Here is a 21,320-nt window from a genome sequence, read left to right as displayed (position 1 = left end):
TAGGGTGGGATGTCTGTGTCCATGTGCACACAGGGAAGTGAGATTTAGGGAATCTAGCTTAACCAATTGGTCAAGGGATTGAAACACCAAAATGATCAGAAGAGGACAAACAAGGAACCAAAATGACAGAATAATTTGAAACATGCCTAATTAGAAGCACAGTATGCCAGAATTTTGACAAAGCAATTTCCAGTTTGGTCCTTGTGCATACAAAATTTTCCATCAGAAAGAAAGGGGTAACCCTGGTGCTAGGGACTTTGAAAATTTGTTTGAAGCTTTCTCAGTTGTTCAATAGAATACATTTATAATCTATCCAGCCTATCAGGTATAGTGCTATATTCCACAGAGATGGGAAATCAGAAGGGAGAAGGTTTAGAAACATGGCTTTTCTAAGCTTAAGAATCTCCACCAACGCATATGCATATGTTCATTGCAGCACTGTTCACAATAGCAAAGACATGGAATCAACCTAAATGCCCATCAATGGCAGACTAGATAAAGAAAATGTGGTACATGTACATCATGGAATACTATGCAGCCATAAAAAAGAATAAGATCATGCCCTTTGCAGCAACATGGATGGAGGTGGAGGCTGTTATCTTAAGCAAACTAACGCAGGAACAAAAAACCAAATACTTCATGTTCTCACTTATAAGTGAGAGTTAAACAATGAAAACACATGGACACAAAGAGAGGAATAACAAACACCGGAGCCTACTTGAGGGTGGAAGGTGGGAGGACAGAGAAAATCAGAAAAAATACCTATCAGGTACTATGCTTATTACCAAGGTGATGAAATAATCTGTATACGAAACCCCTGTGACACACAGTTTATCTATATAACCCATACATGTACCCCTGAACCTAAAATAAAAATTAACAACAAAAAATAAAAATAAAAAGAAGAAGAAGAATCCCCAGCAAGAGCCTAGGCTAGAGACCAGAAGTGTGGTGACAGTCAGTGAGCCAAGCATAGAGGGCCACACAGGGTGGATGTAGTCCTTGACCTACCCCCTCTTGCAACATGTTACAGGTCATCAGTCATTTCCAGCCTCATGCACCAATGACTTAACCTTTCTCTGATACTAAGTGCACATCAGACTTAGCTCAGCCACTGGGCTGCCCAAGGAGGAGGGAGAATATCCCCAACATAGGAATCCCACAGGAGACTGACCCCAGTCTGCTATTTATTCTGTGATTTGAGCCAGGGTTAGATAATGTGTGCCACACCTTGTGTTTTGAAAGGCCCTGGGAAAAGTAACACATTGGACTATTATTGGCCATTAACACTGTGTGAATTTATTATCAGAAATAAGCAAGCCTCCAGGAACTGAGCTCTGCTACGGGTGCCTGGAACAGAAAATGAACAGGACCTAGTGTTTGGATGATAGGAAAGGGGAAAGAGGAGTGGGCACCAAAAGGTAAAAGTGGAGTCCAGAAAGGGAAGGTGGGAAGGCTCACACTTCAAGATTTTTCCCTCAGAGCTAAGAAAATGCAGACTTTTGCCCCAGTTGGGAGGCAAGGGGGGTCAGCTGGGTTTTTGATTGACTGGTCAATTTGTTTCTAGTCCCAGTTATGAATTCCCATATCTCCCCTCCTCTGCCTCATAATGAGTATTTCTGAATATCACTTAGCCCCCAGAACCACCTTTTCCCTAGATTCCACCTCTTTAGAATCCATGCTTTTGGGTGCTGGGCTGTGTGTGTATGAGAGAGAGAGAGAGAAGAAAGAAAATAGAATCCATGTCTCGGAAGAGGAAGGAGGGAAGGAAGGAGGAAGAAAGAAAAGGAAAGAAGGCTTAGACCTGGGAAGCAGAATAGAATGACAGGGCTCCCTCTGATTTCCCCAGACCCTGGCACCAGCTCCTGTCCTCCAGTTTTTTCCTCTGCACATCAACTAGAGAATGAACATATGAGCCAATCAAGTCTTGACTTCCAAAGCCACAAGTCTCCCCCGCAAAGCACCCCACCCCCTTCCCTAGAGATGACCTCCAGGGCAAGGTAACAGGGTTAGGAAACAGATGGATGTGCAGAGACCCTCCAGAGCTAACCTGACCCCTGACCCCCACCAGTTCATGTCCTCTAATCCAACTTTCCAGAAGGGAGAGCAGATGCATGGGGCCCCGGTAACTTACTGGACTCCTTGGGACAAAGATTCCAGACAAAACTGTTTCAGACATGTGGGGAGATGGGGAGCTACACACAGAAGCTGGTGGAAGCCACAGGTACAGGGAGACGGGGAATCCCTGGCCATCAGAGAAACAGGGCCACAGGTGGTGGAAGATAAGGGTGGTCAGTGCCGGTTCTAGGGAGGGACTGTGTAGCCAGGGAGCAGGAGGAGCAATGGACCCGGGACTTGGACGATGGCAGGGGCGCAAAGAGCTAGAAAGACATCTCAGGGCTCTACACCTCACAGCAAGCAGAGACTTAGTGGGTGTGTATGAGAGGGACGCTAACTCACACTTCCAGGAATGAGTAATTCTTATGAATAGCTCCTCCGTTCCCAGAACTGAAGAGGAGGACAAGGGGGAGGTCCGAGGCGCCCACCGCCCTCCCAGCTGGGTCTGCCTCTCAAGTCAGAGGGACCAGCTCCCCACACGCACCAGGCGAGACCGATGTCTTCCGCCCCACTCCTGTCAGTCTGCAGCCGGCGCGGCTCCGGGTCCCCGCCGCCCCTCTGTGCACATCAGGGCCCCGGGCCCCCGACGGCGAGGAGGGGTGCCGACCCAGGGCGGCCGCCGGGAGCCCCGCTGACAGGCACAGGGGAGGGGGAGCCAAGGGAGGGGCCGGGACGCCGGTAGCCGGAGCGGCGCGCTGCAAAGTGAGCCAACACCGCCCATCCCCGCGCTCTGGGAGAAGGCGGTCCGAGGGGACCGCCTCCCACCTCCCCAACACAGACTCCCGCAACTGGGGTGAAGGCGGAGGGGCGCGGAGTTCCCAGCCCCCACGCCCTCCCCAGACGCAGCCAGCACTGCCATAACAACCAGAATCTCGGCAACTCCAGCCCCGACGCCGAGGGGGCACTGCCCCCCAACACGCACGCGGCAGCAACAGCCCTCCTTCCCCAAACTTGTCCGAGACGCCGCGTCCGAGGCAGTAGCCTTCAGCCCTGGCCCCCCGCGCCCTGCCCGGCTTACCTGTCCGGAAAAAGGCGTCCACGTCCGAGTCTGCTGCTCCTCCTTCCTCCGCTGCTCCCTCAGGGGGGTTCATGACTGTGGGAGGGCGTCCGCGGGCAGCCGGGAGCCGAAGAAGCCTGGGGCCGAGGGCTGCTCGGCGCCCGGTGGGCGGAGGGCGCGGGGCGCAGCTGCTGCGGCCGCAGAGCTGGCGGCCGCGGAGCTTCGAGGGCGGGCGTTGGGCGGCGGGGCTGGGGCAGAGGACGCTGAGCCTCCCTCAGGCGGAGGCGCGCGGCGGGCTGGGGGTGCCTGCCGCCAGCTCCCCCATGGTACCCCTTCCCCAGGGCGCTGGCCGCCTGCTGTCTGGCTGGGGCCGGGGCCCGGGGCCGGGGTGCGGGCTGCCTGGGCGCCCGCTGTCCCCCAGCAGCGGCAGCTGGCTCTCCTGCTCGCCCGTCTGCCTGTCTCTATTGTTCAGCCCTGCTCCGCTCTCTCCTCTTTATTTTTCCTCCTCCCTCCCACCCTCCCTGTCTCCCTACCTCCTCCCTCCCTCGCTCACTCGCTCACTCGCTACCTCCCTCCTTCGCTCGCTCGCTCTCTAGCTCCCCCTCTGGCTCCCGCCGCCGCCGCCGCCGCAGCAGCCGCCTCCCCAGCTCCTCCCCCGGCTCCCGCTCCCTCAGTCCCGGCCAACAATGACCCCGGGAGCGCCGAGCTGAATTGAAGCTCCGGCCGGGGCCGAGGGCTCGCTGCGGGCCCCCGGCGGCGCCTACGCCCCCAGTCCCAGCGGCCCCGCGCCGGCCTCCCGGGGAGCGGAGCCCGAGTCCCGAGCTATTGTTCGAGGCTGTGCTAGGCCGGCTTCCTGAGCTCCGCAGGAAAAGCCCGGGCCAGGGAGGGGGCGGGGCCGCCGGGCGAGCCCGGGGCTGCAGGGCACACGCCAGGCTTGTCCAGGGGGCTCTGCGGCCCGGGCGCTGCGCGCTCAGCTTCTCCGCTCGCGCCGCCGGTGCTCCTCCCGGCCCCGCGGCCACCTCCTCCGTCCACTCCACTCCCAGGTGTGTGAGGGGACCACCAGGCTGCCCGCCCGCCTTCTCTGGATCTTCAGATCGGTCTCCAAGCTGGACTGACCTGTCCCTAGAGGCCGGCCTTTCTTCCCCTCCTTCCTGACGAGCTCTCTTCTGTCTCCCTGCCCTCCTGAGCCTCTCACATTTTCCTCACCAGCTCGCCACAGTTTCTCTCCTTTTTATCTTTTCTCGTCCTTTTCCCCTTTTCAGCGCCCCTTTAAACATCTCCGCCTGTCTCTGTGACTCTTTGTCCAGTTTAATGCTCCTGTGATGTCTCCCTGCCTATCTCTCCCTCCCTCCGTCACTCTCTTGTCCCTCGTTTGTCTCTGTCCTGCCTCCGTACTTGGCCCGTATCTCCGCGCTCCTCTTGGACAGCTGTCAAAACTCTCTAATCCCTGGGGCCTTCTCGGTTTTGTTCTCCCTCATGTGAATGGAGAGATCCAGTTGGCCAGGAGGAAGGAGGTGTTACAGCAAGCTGAATTTCAATTAAAGTGGGGAGAGGGGCTGGGGAGGAATGGGGATGGCTGCAAAAAAGAAAACAGATGCTGTATGGGGTAATTAATGCGGTGATTGTATTGTGCCCATCAGTTTTTAAGCAATAATTAAACAATAATTAGCCAGTAGTGTGTTTATGGTTCTAGTGACTACAGAGCCCACCAAACAGAGGGTCTTTAAGACCTGAGTACTTAATAAGGTCTGCTGAGCGCTGTTCGCTGTTGCCTCATCCAGACAGATGGAGAAGTGGTGGCCTGACCTAATGTGTTAAAACACGCCTAATAGGAAAACCAGGTACTGGTCTGAAGTTAATGACTGCAACCCATCAGACAGAATCTCCTGGATCTGTTTGTCTCTAGTAACCTGTTTGGTTCCACCTCTCTCTGGGGGCCAAGGCAACTGGGGCCTATGCAGATCCACCAACTGTGTAAACTTGTAGCAAATAAAATGAATTAAATTAGTTTTTAGTGAACACTTTCTGGCTCCCTGTACGCATCACGTTCTTCACTGACACAAACAGTCTAATTTTTTTTCACCCATTAAAAAAAAGTACCTGTTTCCAACCTTGGATACACCTATCAGACCTGTCTCCAACCTTGAGTACATCTATCAGACCTCTGTAGTGACTCTGACATCACAAGTTCACTGCCCTGAGATCTAATTCATCTGGCCCTAGTATCTTGAACTGGCTTAAGATGCCCCTTTGCCTATGCCTTTTCTGACAATGAAAATACTTCTCATTTGTCTTTTCAAAATCTTCCTTCCCCTTAATCCTTTGCCTAACCCCTGGTCTGCTCCCCTACCCCCGCACACACATATGTGATGGCAGAGCTGCTATTAATTAATTGCCACCATTGTGCAGCTAAAGAACCAGTGGCCTGGCAAGGCATTAGCTCATCACAATTCAGAAGAAACATTACATGTTTAGAGGAAGGGTCATATCAAAATCTCAAGATATAGACAAGAAAGGGGGAACACCTTATGTAATGACACAAACTTTTTTTGAGAGGAAATTTGGCAACTTCTATTAAAATGTTAAGTGTTCATGGCTATATTAATATCAAAGAAGACTTCAAAGCAAAGAATATTACCAGGGATAAAGAGGAACATTTCAATTCATCAAGCAGACGTAACAATCCTAAGAGTGTTTGCACCTAATAAGATAGCTTCAAAGTACATGAAGCAAAACTGATAGGATTGCAAGGAGAAATATAAAAATTTATAATTATAGTCAGATAATTTAATATCTGTAAAATGCAGTAATTAATAGAATAAGGAGACAGATCATCAGTAAAGATATGGAAGACTTGAACAATGTTATCAACCAACCTAACCTAACTGACATTTATAGAATATTCCACTCCATAACAGCAGATACACATTTTTTCAAATGCACAGGTAGCATTTGTCAAGATAAACCATACACTAAGCCATAAAACAAATCTCAATAAATTTAAAAGGATTAAAATCATGCAAAGAGGTACATAAATTATACCTAAGTTGGTTTTTAAAAAAAAATCAGAGTATGTTCTCTGACCACAATAGAATTAAACTAGAAATCAATAACAAAAAGAATCTAGAAAAACCTCCCAAATATTTGGAAAGTAAATAACACACTTCTAAATAACACATGAGCTACTAAGAATTCAAAGGATGGGCTGGGCACCATGGCTCATGCCTATAATTCTAACACTTTGTGAGGCTGAGGCCAGGGGATCACCTGAGGCCAGGAGTTCAAGACCAGACTGACCAACAGGGCAAAACCCATCTCTACTAAAAATACAAAAATTAGCCGGACATGGTAGCGTTTGCCTGCAATCCCAGCTACTCTGGTGGCTGAGGCATGAGAATCACTTGAACCCAGGAAGCAGAGGTTGCAGTGAGCCAAGATTGTGCCACTGCACTTTAGCCTGGGTGACACAGTGAGACTTTGTCCCCTGCCACCCCCACCAAAAAAAGAATTAAAAGGGGGATATTAGAAAGAATCTCAAAGTGAATAAAAATGAAAACACATTACATAAAAATCTGTGGGATGCAGCTAAGGCAGTCTAAATCTGTGGGATGCAGCTGAAGCAGAAAGACATTTATAGTGCTAAATACCTATTTTGAAAATAAAGATCTCCCATCAATAAGCTCCTATTCTACTGTAAGAGCAAACGAAATCAAAGTGGAAGAACAGAAATAAAAAAGATCAGAGCAGAAGGCAATAAAATAGCAGGAAAACAAAAGAAAAAAATCAATGAAACTAAAGTGGGTTCTTTAAGATCAATAAAATAAAAAAACCTCCACCCAGACTGATCAGAAAATAAGAGAAAAATCTCAAATTACTGCTAGCAGGAATGACAGAGGTAACATCACTACAAATTCTATAAATGTAAAAATAATAATAAGGGAATATTATGAACAACTTTATGCCAACAAATTTGACAACTTTCATAAGATGGACACAAACTACTAAAGTTCACTCAAGGAGAAATTGCTAACTTAAATAGCTATTTATCTACTATAGAAATTAAATTTGTAGCTTAAAAGCTTTCCCCACACACACCCACACACAAAACAACTCAAGATTCACATGGGTTTTTTGGTAAATTTATGAAACATTTAAGGAAGAAATAATATCAATTCCACAAAAACTCTTCCAGAAAAGTGAAAAGGAGGAAATATTTCCCAACTACTTCTATGAGGCCAGCATTACTCTGATGCCAAAACTAAACAAAGGCCATATAAGAAAAAAAATGTAGACTACTTCCTTAGGAATATTTATTAGGAATAAAATTTTTAATAAAATTTTAGCAAATAAAATCTACAATATATAAAAAGGATAATACATCATAACCAAGTGGGTTTATCCCACATATACAAGGTTGGTTTCACATTTGGAAAACTATTCAATGTAACTTACCACATGATATGGGTTGAATTGTATTCTCAAAAAAGGTATGTTAAAGTCCTAACCCCTGGTAGCTGTGAAAGTGGCCTTATTTGGAAATAAGGTGTTTGCAGATATAATCAAATTTGGAATGTGGTCACTAGGATGGACCCTAATCCAATATGACTGGTGTCCCGATAAGAAGAAAAAAAAATTCCATATGAAGACAGAGAAGACAGAGACACATAGGGAAAAATGCCATGTAATGGCAGAGGCAGAGATTGGAGTGACGCAGCAGCAAAGAATACCAAGAATTGACAGCCACCACCAGAAGCTAGAAAGAGGTAAAGAAAGATTCTCCCCAGAGTCTCAGAGGGAGCATGGCCATTCTAACACTTGATTTCAGACTTCTTCTCTTCAGAACTGTGACAGAATAAATGTCTATTATTTTAAGCTACCCAGTTTGCACTACTTCGTTACAGCAACCCTAGGAAACCAATATACCATATTTAAAAAGCAATACAAGTCCGAGTATGGTGGCTTACGCCCGTAATCCTAGCACTTTGGGAGACCAAGGTGGGCAAATCCCTTGATCCCAGGAGACTGAAACCAGCCTGGGCGACATGGCATAACCCATCTCTACAAAAAATACAAAAAGTAGCCGGACATGGTGGCATGAAAGTCAGATCATGTCTCAAAAAATAAAATAAAATTTAAATTTAAAAAAGCGATACCATGTGATCATCTAAGTAGATGCAGGAAAATAATTTGACAAAAATCCAATATCCATTTCTGAACAAAACTCTCAGCAAACTAGGAATAGAAGGGGCTCTCTTAACTTAATAAAGGACATCTACCAAAAATCTATAGTTAACAGCAAGCTTTTTCCCTAAGATCAGAAGAAGGTAAGATGTCTACTCTTACCCCTATTCAATGTACTGGATGTACAGTGCAATAAGAAAAAGAAATTAAAGGCACCCAGATTGAAGAGGAAGAGGTAAAACTGTCTGTATTCAAAGATGGTATGATTGCTACTTAGAAAATTCCATGAAATATATATTTCTTAAACTAGTAGATCTAATAACGAGTTTAGCCAGATTTCAGAGTATAAGACCAATATAAAAATTAAATTGTATTTCTATAACCTAACAATGAAGATTTAGAACTTGAAATTTTAAAACATCACTATAGTAGCATGGAAATAAAAATTTGAAGGCTTAGCCTGATTTTTAAAATATGTAAGACTCATACACTCAAAGATAAAATACATTGCTGAAGGAAATTAAAGAAGATCTAAGTAAATGGGGAGAAATACTGTGTCATGGAATTTTGCAAAGACTCAAAATCCTTAGGACATTAATTTTTCCCAAACTGATCTTAGATTCAATGAAATCCCAATAGGCTCTTTTGTAGAAATTTATAAGTTGATTTGATGAACAGAACCTAGAAAAGCCAAAACAACGAAAGAGAAGAGAGTTGGAGGACTTACACTACCCAATTTCAAGACATTTATGAGGCTATAGTAATCCAGACAATGTGGTATTGGTGTAAAGATAGACAAATAGATTGATGGACTAGAATGGGGTCCAGAAACAGACCCATATGTATATCATCAATTGCTATTGTTGATTTTCAATTATAAAAAAAATCAAAGGGAATTCAGTATAAAAATGGTAGTCTTTACAAATGGTGCTTGAACAATTGAAAAATCTGTATTAGTTTTCTATGACTGCTGTAAAAATTTACCACAAACTTCGTAGCTTAAAACCACACAATTGGCCGGGCTCGGTGGCTCACGCCTGTAATCCCAGCACTTTGGGAGGCCAAGGCGGGCGGATCACGAGGTCAGGAGATCGAGACCACGGTGAAACCCCGTCTCTACTAAAAATACAAAAAATTAGCCGGGCGCAGTGGCGGGCGCCTGTAGTCCCAGCTACTCGGGAGGCTGAGGCAGGAGAATGGCGTGAACCCGGAAGGCGGAGCTTGCAGTGAGCGGAGATCGCGCCACAGCACTCCCGCCTGGGCGACAGAACGAGACTCCGTCTCAAAAAAAAAAAAAAAAAAAAAAAAAAAACCACACAATTTTATTACCTTACAGCTCTAGAAGTCAGATGTCTGAAATGAGTCCCACTGGGCAAAAATCAAGATGTTAGCAGGGATGTGTCATTTCTGGAGGATCTAGGGGAGAATCCACTTCTTTACTTTTTCTAGCTTTTAGAGGACACCCGCATTTTTTAGCTTGTGTCTCCCTTCCTCCATCTCCAAACCAACAATGATGAGCCAAATCAGTCTCACACTGCCATCTCTCTGTGTCCAGAATATATAAACAACTCTCAGACCTTCATGATAAGAAAACAAACAACCCAACTTTTAAAATTGGGCAAAAGATTTGACTAGACACTCACTTTAGAGATATACAGACAGCAATAAGCATTTGAGATAATGCTCAATACTATTAGTCATGAGGAAAATGCAAACTAAAAGCTCAATGAGATGTGATGATTTATTGGAATGTCTAAAATTAAAACGCCTGAACATATCAAGTGCTGGTGAGGATGAGGAGAGGATGCAAAAACGGAACTCTCTTACACTTCGAATGCAAAATGGTACAATTACTTCAAAAAACAGTTTGGCAGTTTCTTAACTAGGTAAACATACACTTACCATGTGACACAGTCATTCCACTCTTGGTATTTACCCAAGAAAAATAAAAGCATATATCCATGTAAAGATTTGCACACAAATGTTCATAGCAACTTCATTTATAATAGCCAACACCAGGAAGTGATCCAAAAATCCATCAACAAGCAATCAGATAAACAAATTGTGATATATCTATACAATGGAATACTATGCAGGACTTGGATGAATCTCAGAATAATTATGGAGCGTGAAAGAGGTCAGACAACAGAGAGTATATTCTAGGTGATTCCATTTTTATAAAATTCTAGGAAATGCAAAGTAACCTATACTGACAGAAAGCAGATCAGTGATTGTCTGGAGATGACCAGAGTCGGAGACTGGGAGCTGAAGGGAGAGAGAGGGGAGTTATAAATGGGAACGGCATAACTTTTGGAGGCGATGGATATGTTCTTGACTGCAGTGATGGCTTTTATGGCTGTATGCTTATGTCAAAACTGATCAAATTGCACACTTTAAATACATGCAATTTGTCAAATGTCAATTATACCACAATAAAACTGTTTTAAAAATCAATTTTTTAAGTAAATGGGATAAAGCTACATGTGCTTACAAGGAAATACCAGTTATCTTGAGGGGACTTTTATAGTCCATAAAATATTTAAATTTTCATAATGTGGATTCTTTACAATGATGTGAGAGAGAGAGACAGGGAGAAAATCATCAGCTGGAGAAACTTTTTCCCATGATGCATAAGAATGCCAGAGTGGAGGAAGGAAGAGCTATGTTCAGGTCTATGTATTTAGAAACAGCTCCCAAGGCATCTTGACATACACCCCCTTTGCTCCGCCCCTACTCAGAGATTTAAAGGAAGGAAGGGACAGGATGGGATAAGATGGAAGAAGTGTTTTCAGAAGGTAGATGAGCCTAGGAGACTGGAAGAAGGAGTTCGGAGTCCAAAGAATAGTGTAGAAGTACTTCAACGAAGCTGTGGCTGTGACTGAAATGGAAAGCTGTGGAAGGCAATGAGAAAGGAAACATAATAGCATGTGTTGATGCCTTATATATGGAGAGAAGCAGGTGTGGGCAGGAAAGAGTGAGCCAGGGTGAGCAGGAGTCCAAGAACCACTAGGTAACCGAGAGAAAACAACGGCATAACAGGAAAAATCGGCTTCTAAAGGAGAAATTTTTCCTCTAGAGAGAGAGGAGAAAACAATCTGGGGAAAGATGAGGAAAGTGATTAAAATATTACTTAATCGAACCCCTCATTTCAACAACAAGAAGATTGAAAAGTAGAGAGTAAAGTGACTTGCCTGAAGATCCACAGCAGACCCCAGAATTCATGAGTCCTAGGCGGGTTCCCATGGTGTTTCCCTATCACACACATTTCCTCACCTATGTTAGGAGTCTGAAGTGATGATGGGCATCCAGGTGGTAATGTCCAATCAGCAATTAGTAATGTCCAATTACTATGGTGATGTCCAATTGGCAGAGCAGCTGAGAGAGGGCTTGGCAGCTGGGAATATTGATTAAGGAGCTAAGAGCTGGTTGAAGCACCAAGAACGAATGAGATAAAAGATTTTCTATCCACTTCCATTAACTTTCCTCTTTGGATGAAATTATCTATCTGTATATCCTGCTTTCTACTCAAATCAAACGTGCCTTAGAACCAGCACCTCTCCCCACTTTTCCGACTTCTTTATTCTAATTTCACAGACTAGAATCTGAAAGACTTCTGGGGTTCCTCCCCTTCCTCCACTTCCTGCATCCATGCTATCATTAATCCTGTGTTTTCCTTTGAGAGAACATCCGTTGCCCTCTTTTCCCTCTAATGCCATCCTAGCCCAGCCTTCAGCTCTATGGTCTTGAATTTCTACAACAGCTTGCCAACTGGCCAGGCAAAGTGGGGAAGTGAAGCCAATGACTGAAAGAAACAATAGGCCAGAGAGACAAGTCACAGGAATATGTCGGCCATGTAGACTAGGGGAAAGGGTGTTAGGAGTGAGACAGGGGTCAAACAGGTCAGATGCCACAGGGAAGTAAGGGGCAGAGAGGATTAAGACATGGAGACAGAATTTGGGTAAGTGGCAGGTTTTAAGCGAGCTTCAGTAGAGAAAGAGGAGCATAGAACTGGGTTATAGGAGACAGTGTGTGGTGAGGGAGCAAAGCAAAGGATAGAACCGTACCACAGGCAGGACAGGGGCCAGTGTGTGGTGAGGGGATGGAAGCAGCAAAGAGGAATTATCTTTTCATGAAGAGTGAGCAGTGAAAAAGAAAAGAAGGGCCGGGCGCGGTGGCTCACGCCTGTAATCCCAGCACTTTGGGAGGCCGAAGCGGGCGGATCACACGTTCAGAAGATTGAGACCATCCTGGCTAACATGGTGAAACCCTGTCTCTACTAAAAAATACAACAAAAATTAGCCAGGCGTGGTAGTGTGTGCCTGTAATCCCAGCTACTGGGGAGGCTGAGGCAGAATGGCGTGAACCAGGGAGGCGGAGCTTGTAGTAAGCCGAGATCGCGCCACTGCACTCTAGCCTGGGCGACAGAGCGAGACTCCTTCTCAAAAAAAAAAAAAAAAAAAAAAAAAAAAAAGAAAGAAAGAAAGAAAAGAAGACAGTAGCTAGACAGGATGATCAAGTTTCCAAATGTTTATTTTTTTCTGTTGTTTTCAAAATGGAGCAGCTGTGCATAGCTAAAAAGCTGAGGGAAAGACACAGCAGAGAGAAAAAGAAAGGAATAGAGAATTCTGAAGCCAGAAGAATATCAGCATCACTCAGATCGTGGAAGGGTGGGTGTCTTCCCTGCTGAAGTGAGCAGCTGGCACCCTGAAGGGTGATCTGCATAGAGGAAGCTGGTGGAAGATATTTGGGTCTCAAATCTTGATTCCCAGCCCTCAGTCCATACTGCACAGGAAATTTCTAACAGAAAGCTGTTTCCTTTGTCACACTATTTTCTGTTTAGAGTGAGGACAGGAAATAATCTGTCCTCTTCTTTTAACAATTCCAAGGGAATGCCAAAACATCCCCTGGTCTTGGCCTTGCTTGATATACAGTTGTGACAGCCCCAAAGTTCTTCCTGACCTCTACTCTTAATCTTTCCTGCTGCAGTGGAAGCCCATTCACTCTCATCCTGTCTTTGGGGGAAGCATGTGGTGACCAAAAACCTGCCTGAATGAGGAAATCTCCAGGAGGTAAAATCATGTCAATTTCCTACAGATCCTCAGGAAGTTGCCCTTACAGACGCCACACTCATGTTCCCTGTCAGCCTTCACCTATTCGGAAGAGATGGGAGAACTCAACAAACTAAAGAACACTCAAATACGCCTCAGTTTCCACTGGCATTTTAAAAGAAAGACCCCCTTAGTCATCTCAGAGATGCAGGTCCCAGGAAGCGAGAGGAATGATGCAGCTAATAAACTAAAACATATCTTAAGCTACCCACAAAGAGTTAGGTGTACTCAAGAAGTGGCCAGACACACAATCCAGTCATCCCAGGAAACTCTCTGTCACCAAGTGGCCCCAAGGAGGAGTGAGGTTTCCTTTCTGAAGTCATCCCACGAGACTAGGAGGATCTGCCAGGCATCCTGAAGGACGTGTCATGCAGCAAGTGACAAGAAAGGACCAAGATGTGAAAAAGAAAGTGAGAAACAGGGAAGTTATGATGAAAAAGGAATAAAGACAAGCGTGGAGGAAAGATGGTGATATGAAGACAAAAAGAAGAAACACAGACAAAGAGCATGCTCAAGGGAAAGAATCTCTTTCTGCTGTTCACTTAGAGCAGGGGACTTGTAAGTAAAGTTGTATGAGAACAAAGCTGTGCGCATTCATTTACTTAGTGTTTATGGCTACTTTTGTGTTACAAGGGCAGAGTCAAGTAGTTGCAACAAAGACCATTTGGCCTACAAAGTAAAAAATATTTACTATCTGGCACTTTAAAAAAATGTTTGCTGACCCCTGACTTAGAGTAATAACAACCTTATAACTTCCCCTAATACTGACAGGCTCTCTGTGGTTCTTCAACTACTCTTCAGAATGGTTGTTTTCTTCAGAAACTATTACCCTGAAAGAAACCAAAACTGGAGCCAAGCAATGGTAAAATTAATCAGAGAGCTGTAGCTTAGACAGTGACCAAAGTAAAATCACTCCAAGATACAAAAGAAATTGCCAAGCTAAAGAACAAGTCTGACTCTCAAAAAGACTGCTATAAAGACTTGGAACCAACCCGAATGCCCATCAAAGATAGACTGGATAAAGAAAACGTGGCACATATACACCATGGAATACTATGCAGCCATAAAAAAGATAAGTTCCTGTCCTTTGCTTGGACATGGATGAGGCTGGAAACTATCATTTTCAGTAAACTGACACAGGAACAGAAAACCAAACACCACATGTTCTCACTCATAAGTGGGAGTTGAACAATGAGAACACATGGACACAGGGAGGGGAACATCACACACCAGGGCCTGTCAGGGGTTGGGGGGGCGAGGGGAGGGATAGCATTAGATGACGGGTTGATGGGTGCAACAAGCCACCATGGCACGTGTATACCTATGTAACAAACCTGCACGTTCTGCACGTGTATCCCAGAACTTAAAGTATAATAAAAAAAAAAAACTACTATATTGACAATAAAATAAGGTCTCAATGTCTATCCAGAAAAAAAAAATACTGCTATAGATGGAAAATATATTTAGGGGAGGAGGGAGTATGTCTGTGTGTAAAATATGATTTTAGATTCATAAATACTAATCAGAAATATATAGAAAAATATATATGTATACTTCTGATTAGCATTATGTTTCTGTATATTTTTTCTCCTGATTATTAGTTAATAAAGCTAAAATCACAATTGTTTCATGCTGAAAGGTTGATATTATATAGTACCCAAGGAAAATAAAAGAGTCAATCAGTATAATATATAAATAATAATGCAAAATTGAAATATAGATAAGAGGTAAATTTGAGAGAAAGAAAAAGCTGTGTTTCTGTCATGTTCTGATACTGACATAAAGGTACAGGTTTGAAAGTGGCATTTTTAATACAACTATCCAAAGTTCTTTCCCCCCACCGGCCCCTGTAGAAACAGGGTCTCCCTATGTTGCCTAGGCTGATCTCAAACCCCTGGGCTCAAGCGATCCTCCTGCCTTAACCTCCCAAAGTGCTGGGATACAGGCATGAGCCACCACACCCAGCCTATCCAAGGTTCTTGATAACATGAGACTGAGGAGGGAAGCAGATGGGAGTAAAGGATGAACACTATCCCATGAAGCATGAAACAGGCTGATCTGGAGCTTTTGCAGAGAAATTAAAGAGACAGGTTAAAGCCACATATCTCCAGCATTTGGCACCTGTTTTCCCACTATTTTCTTCAGATGACTTCTACCCACACCTGTAAAGCTATCCCATCCTATCCCATCTTGTCCTGCCCCCTCCTCAACACACACACACACACACACACACACACACACACACACACACACACACACACCTGCTTCATTCCAGGCACAAGATTCTGCTCTTAATTCTCTCATTTATCCAGCAATCCTTGCCCTGTCCTCATCTCTAGGCTTCTGCTCAAAGGCACAGACCCTGCTAGGTACCTACCCTAAATCCATTCTGCCCCGCCTTGTTACTAACAGAACTATAATAATATTCAGGAGGGCAATATGTCCAGCTACGATGTTCACCTGCCCAGACTCCTTTGCAGCTAGGGGTGGCCATGTAACCTGTTTCTTATCATGAAATACAAATGAAGAAAACGTCTGCTAGGGATTTGGGGAAAATTTTTGCCCTTCTCATAACAGGCTCCACCTTCTCCCCACCCTTCCTTCCTTTCTTTCCTTCTTCACTTTCTTTCCTATCCCTTTTTCTTTCTCCTTTTTCCTGCCTTGTGCACAACATAAGGCTTGAGGTGGAGCAACCATCTTGGGAACACAGATCAACAAAGCCACAAGCTAAGGATGGTGGAGCAGAAAGAGAAAAGAAGCCTAGGGCATTGATGGCTCATTGAAGTTCTGCATTAGCCTTGGGCTTCTTGTATACGTCTCTGTTTAGTTAAGTCCCTTTAGTCAGGTTTATGTAGTGAGTGGCCTAATGCAACTAATTCCCATGCCCTTACTTTCCCTTCTACCTGGAAAGAAATTCTCCCCACCCAATAGCCAACTTTTGAAGTCCTGTACTTTCTTCAAAGCCCACCTTAAATCCTACCTCTTTCAGGTGGACATTCCACAATGCCTCAAAATCAACCTCCCTCTCTCTTGTAGTCATACAGGGCACAACTAAAATCATTAAAATAGTATACCAATATGCTTCATATCATAAATATTCATGTCTGTTTATTCATACATCCTATCCCTAGACTGAGAGCTACTAAGGGCAAGGATCCTTTTTCACTCATTTTGAATGCCCTGCAGCCCCCAGCACAGTGCCCAGAGCAGTCACTCAGTAAAGGATTGTTGAATTTCTTAGACTGCACAAATGTTCCTTCTTTCCCAAGTGTATGCTATGGATCATATTAAAACACCTGGCTTCTATGTAGGTGGGATGGGAAAGTAAATAATTAGGAAAATAAACTTTAGAAATCCTAGTCATGTTTGACCATGTTTTGACAGTTCGAAACTGTGTGGCCCTGCTGCTGACTAATTGCCCAGACATACACAGTAAGGTCAAAAGAAGGGACAGAAATGAGAATGTATAGAAGTCCAAAACTGGTCTATATATCATCAAACTAGTATGCTGGTTTCATCAAACTCAACTTCAAACCGGTATCTATTAGAGGCTGATTTGTATCAAAAGTAGTTAATATAACTTATTACATTGTAATTCCAGTTACACTTATACTACTTATTTAATGCATTTCTTTTGGTTGACAAAAATTTATTGGCCATCTATTATGTGCCAAGTCCAGGTGACCAGCCATCCGTGGTTATCTGTGACTGAGCAATTTCCTGAGACACAGGAATTTTCAGTGCTGAAGCTAGGAGAGCTCCAGGCAAACCAGGATGGTTGGACACCAAAGAAGCTCCGAGCTTGATGCTTGATATAAAGTAGTAAAAAATGTAGATGTTGTCCCTGCCCACGTGGAGCTCTACAATATAGTTGGTTCTTATTTGGTGTTCTTAGCAAGTTTGCATCCTGTAACTGTGTTTTCAAATCATACATGTTAGAGTTTATTTAACAGCAATCAAGGCCATCCAACTCTTCAGGTGCTAACACCATAAATCTCCATAGTACAGTTGGCTGTGTGTGTGGAGGGAAGAAGAAGAACTTTGGAACAGGAGGGTAAGCCGAAGTTCAGTTCATTAATGTGGTCATTGTTCTACCAGCTGTGAATTCCAACCAACTTTAATCACAGCTGGAGCCGGTTGTCTGTTGTTCTCAGATCAGCAGACATGCTCCATCTTCAGGTTCTCAGCCCTCTTTGTGATACTAATTTTGACCTGTTGGTGGGACTGCAGCTTCTTTGGAAAGGACCAGGAAATGTCAACTTTTCCTGGGGGAATGTGGAGGTAATCTGATGGTGGCATCTGCTGTTATGGCCACCACAGCTTGCTGGAGCTGACTTTTTCTTCATCATTTTCTTCCATATTCACTCTTCCTATAGCTGGGTTCTGGGCCCTCCCATTTTTGGCATCTGGATGACCTATTTCCCCTTTTAGAATGCCAGTCCTCCCAGATAGATAATACATACTTCTGAGCTTAATAATCTGAAGATCCTATCCTTCCATAGGAGCCACCTACTCAACAAAGACTGAAGGTCCTGGTTCCTCATGGAGTATTTCTCACTCTGTGGCAGAACTTTTCTCGCTAATCTCCAGCCTTCACCTCTGCTAGGCTTTCATAACAACTTCCATTGATTTTCTACTATTGGCTGGGCATTTTTGCATCCATTATTTTATTTAAACTGGACAACAACTCAAAGTAGATATTGTTATCCTCACTTCCAGATGAAGAAACTGCAGGGCAAAGAAGTTAGGGAACTTTCCCTGGGTCACACATTATAAATGGACAGAGTAGAAATTGAATCTCACTCTATCAGACTCTTTTCTGAGAGTTGACTTGATGACCTGGAAGGGAACAGATCTTGTATGCTTGAAAAGAGCTTGTATCTCTTGGACGCTTGAAAATAAGTGTGAGGAAGATTTCAAGGGAGAAGTAATTTTGTGTCTGTTGACTTCTAAATTTTGCTTAGTGAGGGGGTGGGTGTGCCAGGGAACACTGCAAATCAGGGAGAAAGGCCTGACAAAAACCCTAGTTTACTGCCTTGCGCTAGATCAAATGTTAGTTCATACCTATATGTGAGTTTGTTCTTTGAAGCAATAAGAAATTAACTTTAAAATGGTCTCAGGAGGTTTTTAAAGGACAGATTTTCAACAAATAAAACTAAAATGCTTAATTTCATTTCCATGGAATTTTTATGACAAAGATGCTTTCAGTGATCTGGAGCCACTCTTTAAAAAGATAGAGACCAAGGAAGTTGGAGAGTCTTATCTTTTATATTGAGGCAGCCTCAACATTGAGGCACAGCATTGAAGGTCTCAGAGCCTGACCTCATCACTACCTACCATTAGCACAGTGGTCAGGATAGTCAAGGGATCCCAGAATGAGCATTTACAAATGAGGAAAATGACGCCTATAGCAATATGTCAACAATGTCTGGCAAACAGCCTGGTTTATAATAGGTGCTCAATAATTTTATTGAATAAGGGAATAAAGAAAAAAATAAATGAAACAAGAGATTTTCCAGAAGGTCACACAAACAGGGACAAAAAATCCAATGTTCTAAACCCTCACACCATCTCTTAATCTAGTTATATCATCCTCTGGGTGAGCCTAGCCCACTTTAAAATGGATATTCAGATGTCGGAATGAATAGAGCAGTGTGCCTGACTTAAGTAATATCAAAATTTTAATTAGAGATGTGGAAAAGATGGAGTCGATGAAGCTCCCCTGTTATCCAGAGACCATGACCATTCCGGGTGGTTGGTTTCGTTTCTAATGCACATCTGCTCCACCTCACCAATTGCTTTGCACAATATGAGTTCACATTACAAAGTCAACAATTCTTTATCATCTGCGTGGTCAGTCACCCTTTTGTTGTCCCTCCCTTGTAATTGTTTAATCTGGCCTCCCCTGCCACATTTCTTGGCTGCCTACTCTCCCCGCTCCTGTCAGTCAGGTTGTACTCAGGGAAGGCAAATGCACAGAAAAAGTCCAGAGTCAATTAGAACTAATTAGGTGTTTCATCTGCTGCTTTGGATTATCCGTGCCCTCTATAGACACACAGCATAGGCTGGTTGAACAACCACTCCTGGATTGGGGAGCATTCTAAGATTCACACACAGCTTCCTATTGTCTATGCTAATGGAGGTAAAGGCTGGTGTGAATGTACAACAGAGACATTTAAAAACCAAGGTATAGTTCACACTCATTTTCATTGTACATTTTAGTGAGTGTTTACAACTTTATATAACTGTCCGACCATCACTACAATCAAGGCATAGCATACTTTCAACATCACAAAAAGTTTTCTTGTGCCATCTCAGCCAATCTGCCCCCACCTTAGTCCCAAGCAACCACCAGTCTGCTTTCTGTCACTGTAGATTAGATTTGTCTTTTGTAGGGTTTCACATAAATGGAACCATGGAGTACATATTCACAAGCTATTTTTACTTGACTTTGGAATGGTTTCTCCAATTTCCTTCCCAGTGATGTCTGGTTTAGGCTGATATTAAAATGTGTTCATGTTCCCTACATCCACACTGATTTGACAGGGTGGGCAGAGCTGGGACATGGAAGAAACGTGAGAGGCAAGACGTGGAGGCTGATGAGCATAATTATTGGCAATGAGAAGAATGTTGGCTCTCCCCAGTATTTGTAGAATATGACAAAGCGGTGTGCCCATGTTGTGCCCTGAACCTATTTTCAAGGTCATTCAATACAGAGTCTCCTAAATTTAACTACCTAGGAATTGTGTCTTGCTTTGAATGGACATTTGGAAACTCCAGACTCTAGCCAGCCCCTCTCAGCCACGGAGTCATTGCTCCCCCTGGTGTAAACACAGAGATTTTTTACCCTGTGTCAGGCATTCCCACCACCGCAGCCCTCCCTGGACCACAAGGAGCCAAGGGCAGGCAAGAAAGCTTCAGGCTCCCTCTGGCTGTTGTTAGGTTCCTGGGTCAAAGGCTGAGTTTGTGAACACAGAGAAACACTAAGAGATCAACCGCTTGAGAGAGGACAGGAACAGAGAGAAGGGAAACCCCAGAGACAGAACTAGCTAGACATGCAAGATAGAGAGGTGAGGGGGCAGAGGCACAGCCCAAAAAACAAAGCAAGAAGCGATAGAGGGATGGGTTTTTTCCTCCATTTATGAAACATCCTAAAAATTTACTCCTCTGCCCAAAATAGATTCAGATCCAGGATATGAGAATCCTTGAGAAGTGAATTTTAACATGGGAATGCCGATAAATCTTTTAAACAACTTATACACCTCCAGGTGCTACTGGACCTGCTTAATCTCTTTAAACCTCCAGTAACTCCAACCATGGTGTTTAAAGTCTCATAAATCTGCACTAGCTTAAAATAGGGAAATATAAATCACGTTCAGAAGCTTAGGGGTAAGGACAGGAGACGGGCATCCCAATGCCGTTTAAAACCACAGCACAGGCTTTTCATCAAATTTTTCCAAGAAAAGTTAAAATGAAAAACATTCAGGTTTCTGGGTTGTGGTTTCATAAGTTCTCAATTTGTTCTTTTTCCTTTTTTTCAGGGCGGTGGGCTGGGGTCCAAAGGAGCATTGACTAGCTAGTCAGTTGGAAAGAAAAAAATTGCAAACACCCATCTCACTTAGTCCTTTTACACAAAATAAAACCTAAAATAAAAAATAATGACAAACTACTACCAGAAGTCATTAGAAAACAGCAATGTTTCCGGTAAAGCACCAACAAAAATAATGTCTGGTTTTTGTTAAATTGTTAATTTGTGCCAAAAAATAAAAGTTATAGATACTATTCTACTAATAATAGCTACCTTTTCTTTTTCATTCCTACCACATGCCCAGCACCTACCACTGAGCTGAGGACACACACAACCACCTCCTCCTCATCCCCCTGCTGCAAAGGCTGTCAGACTTTTTCTGGCTCCA

General features: G+C 43.9%; 1 protein-coding gene across 24 annotated transcripts in view, besides 1 other annotated feature; it reads right to left on the bottom strand.

Moving 5' to 3' along the window:
- KALRN (kalirin RhoGEF kinase) overlaps positions 1-3,581 on the bottom strand; it is a 692,957-nt gene extending 689,376 nt beyond the window's left edge. For all 24 annotated transcript variants that reach the window (XM_006713810.4, XM_017007429.2, XM_011513279.3 and 21 more), the window contains exon 1: positions 3,137-3,581. In XM_006713810.4, coding sequence (XP_006713873.1) covers positions 3,137-3,209 — 73 coding nt within the window. In that variant the 5' untranslated portion in view covers positions 3,210-3,581. The remainder of the gene's footprint in view (positions 1-3,136) is intronic.
- Positions 3,606-4,065: a silencer, noted in NCBI's record as "silent region_14651". NCBI's record gives its function as "represses an Ori minimal core promoter by ATAC-STARR-seq in GM12878 lymphoblastoid cells {active_cell/tissue: GM12878}" and the evidence as "EXISTENCE:reporter gene assay evidence [ECO:0000049][PMID:35858748]".

Source organism: Homo sapiens, chromosome 3 (assembly GCF_000001405.40).
Source record: "Homo sapiens chromosome 3, GRCh38.p14 Primary Assembly".
NCBI classification, from domain to species: domain Eukaryota; kingdom Metazoa; phylum Chordata; class Mammalia; order Primates; family Hominidae; genus Homo; species Homo sapiens.
This window is presented reverse-complemented; position numbering and strand designations above follow the sequence as displayed.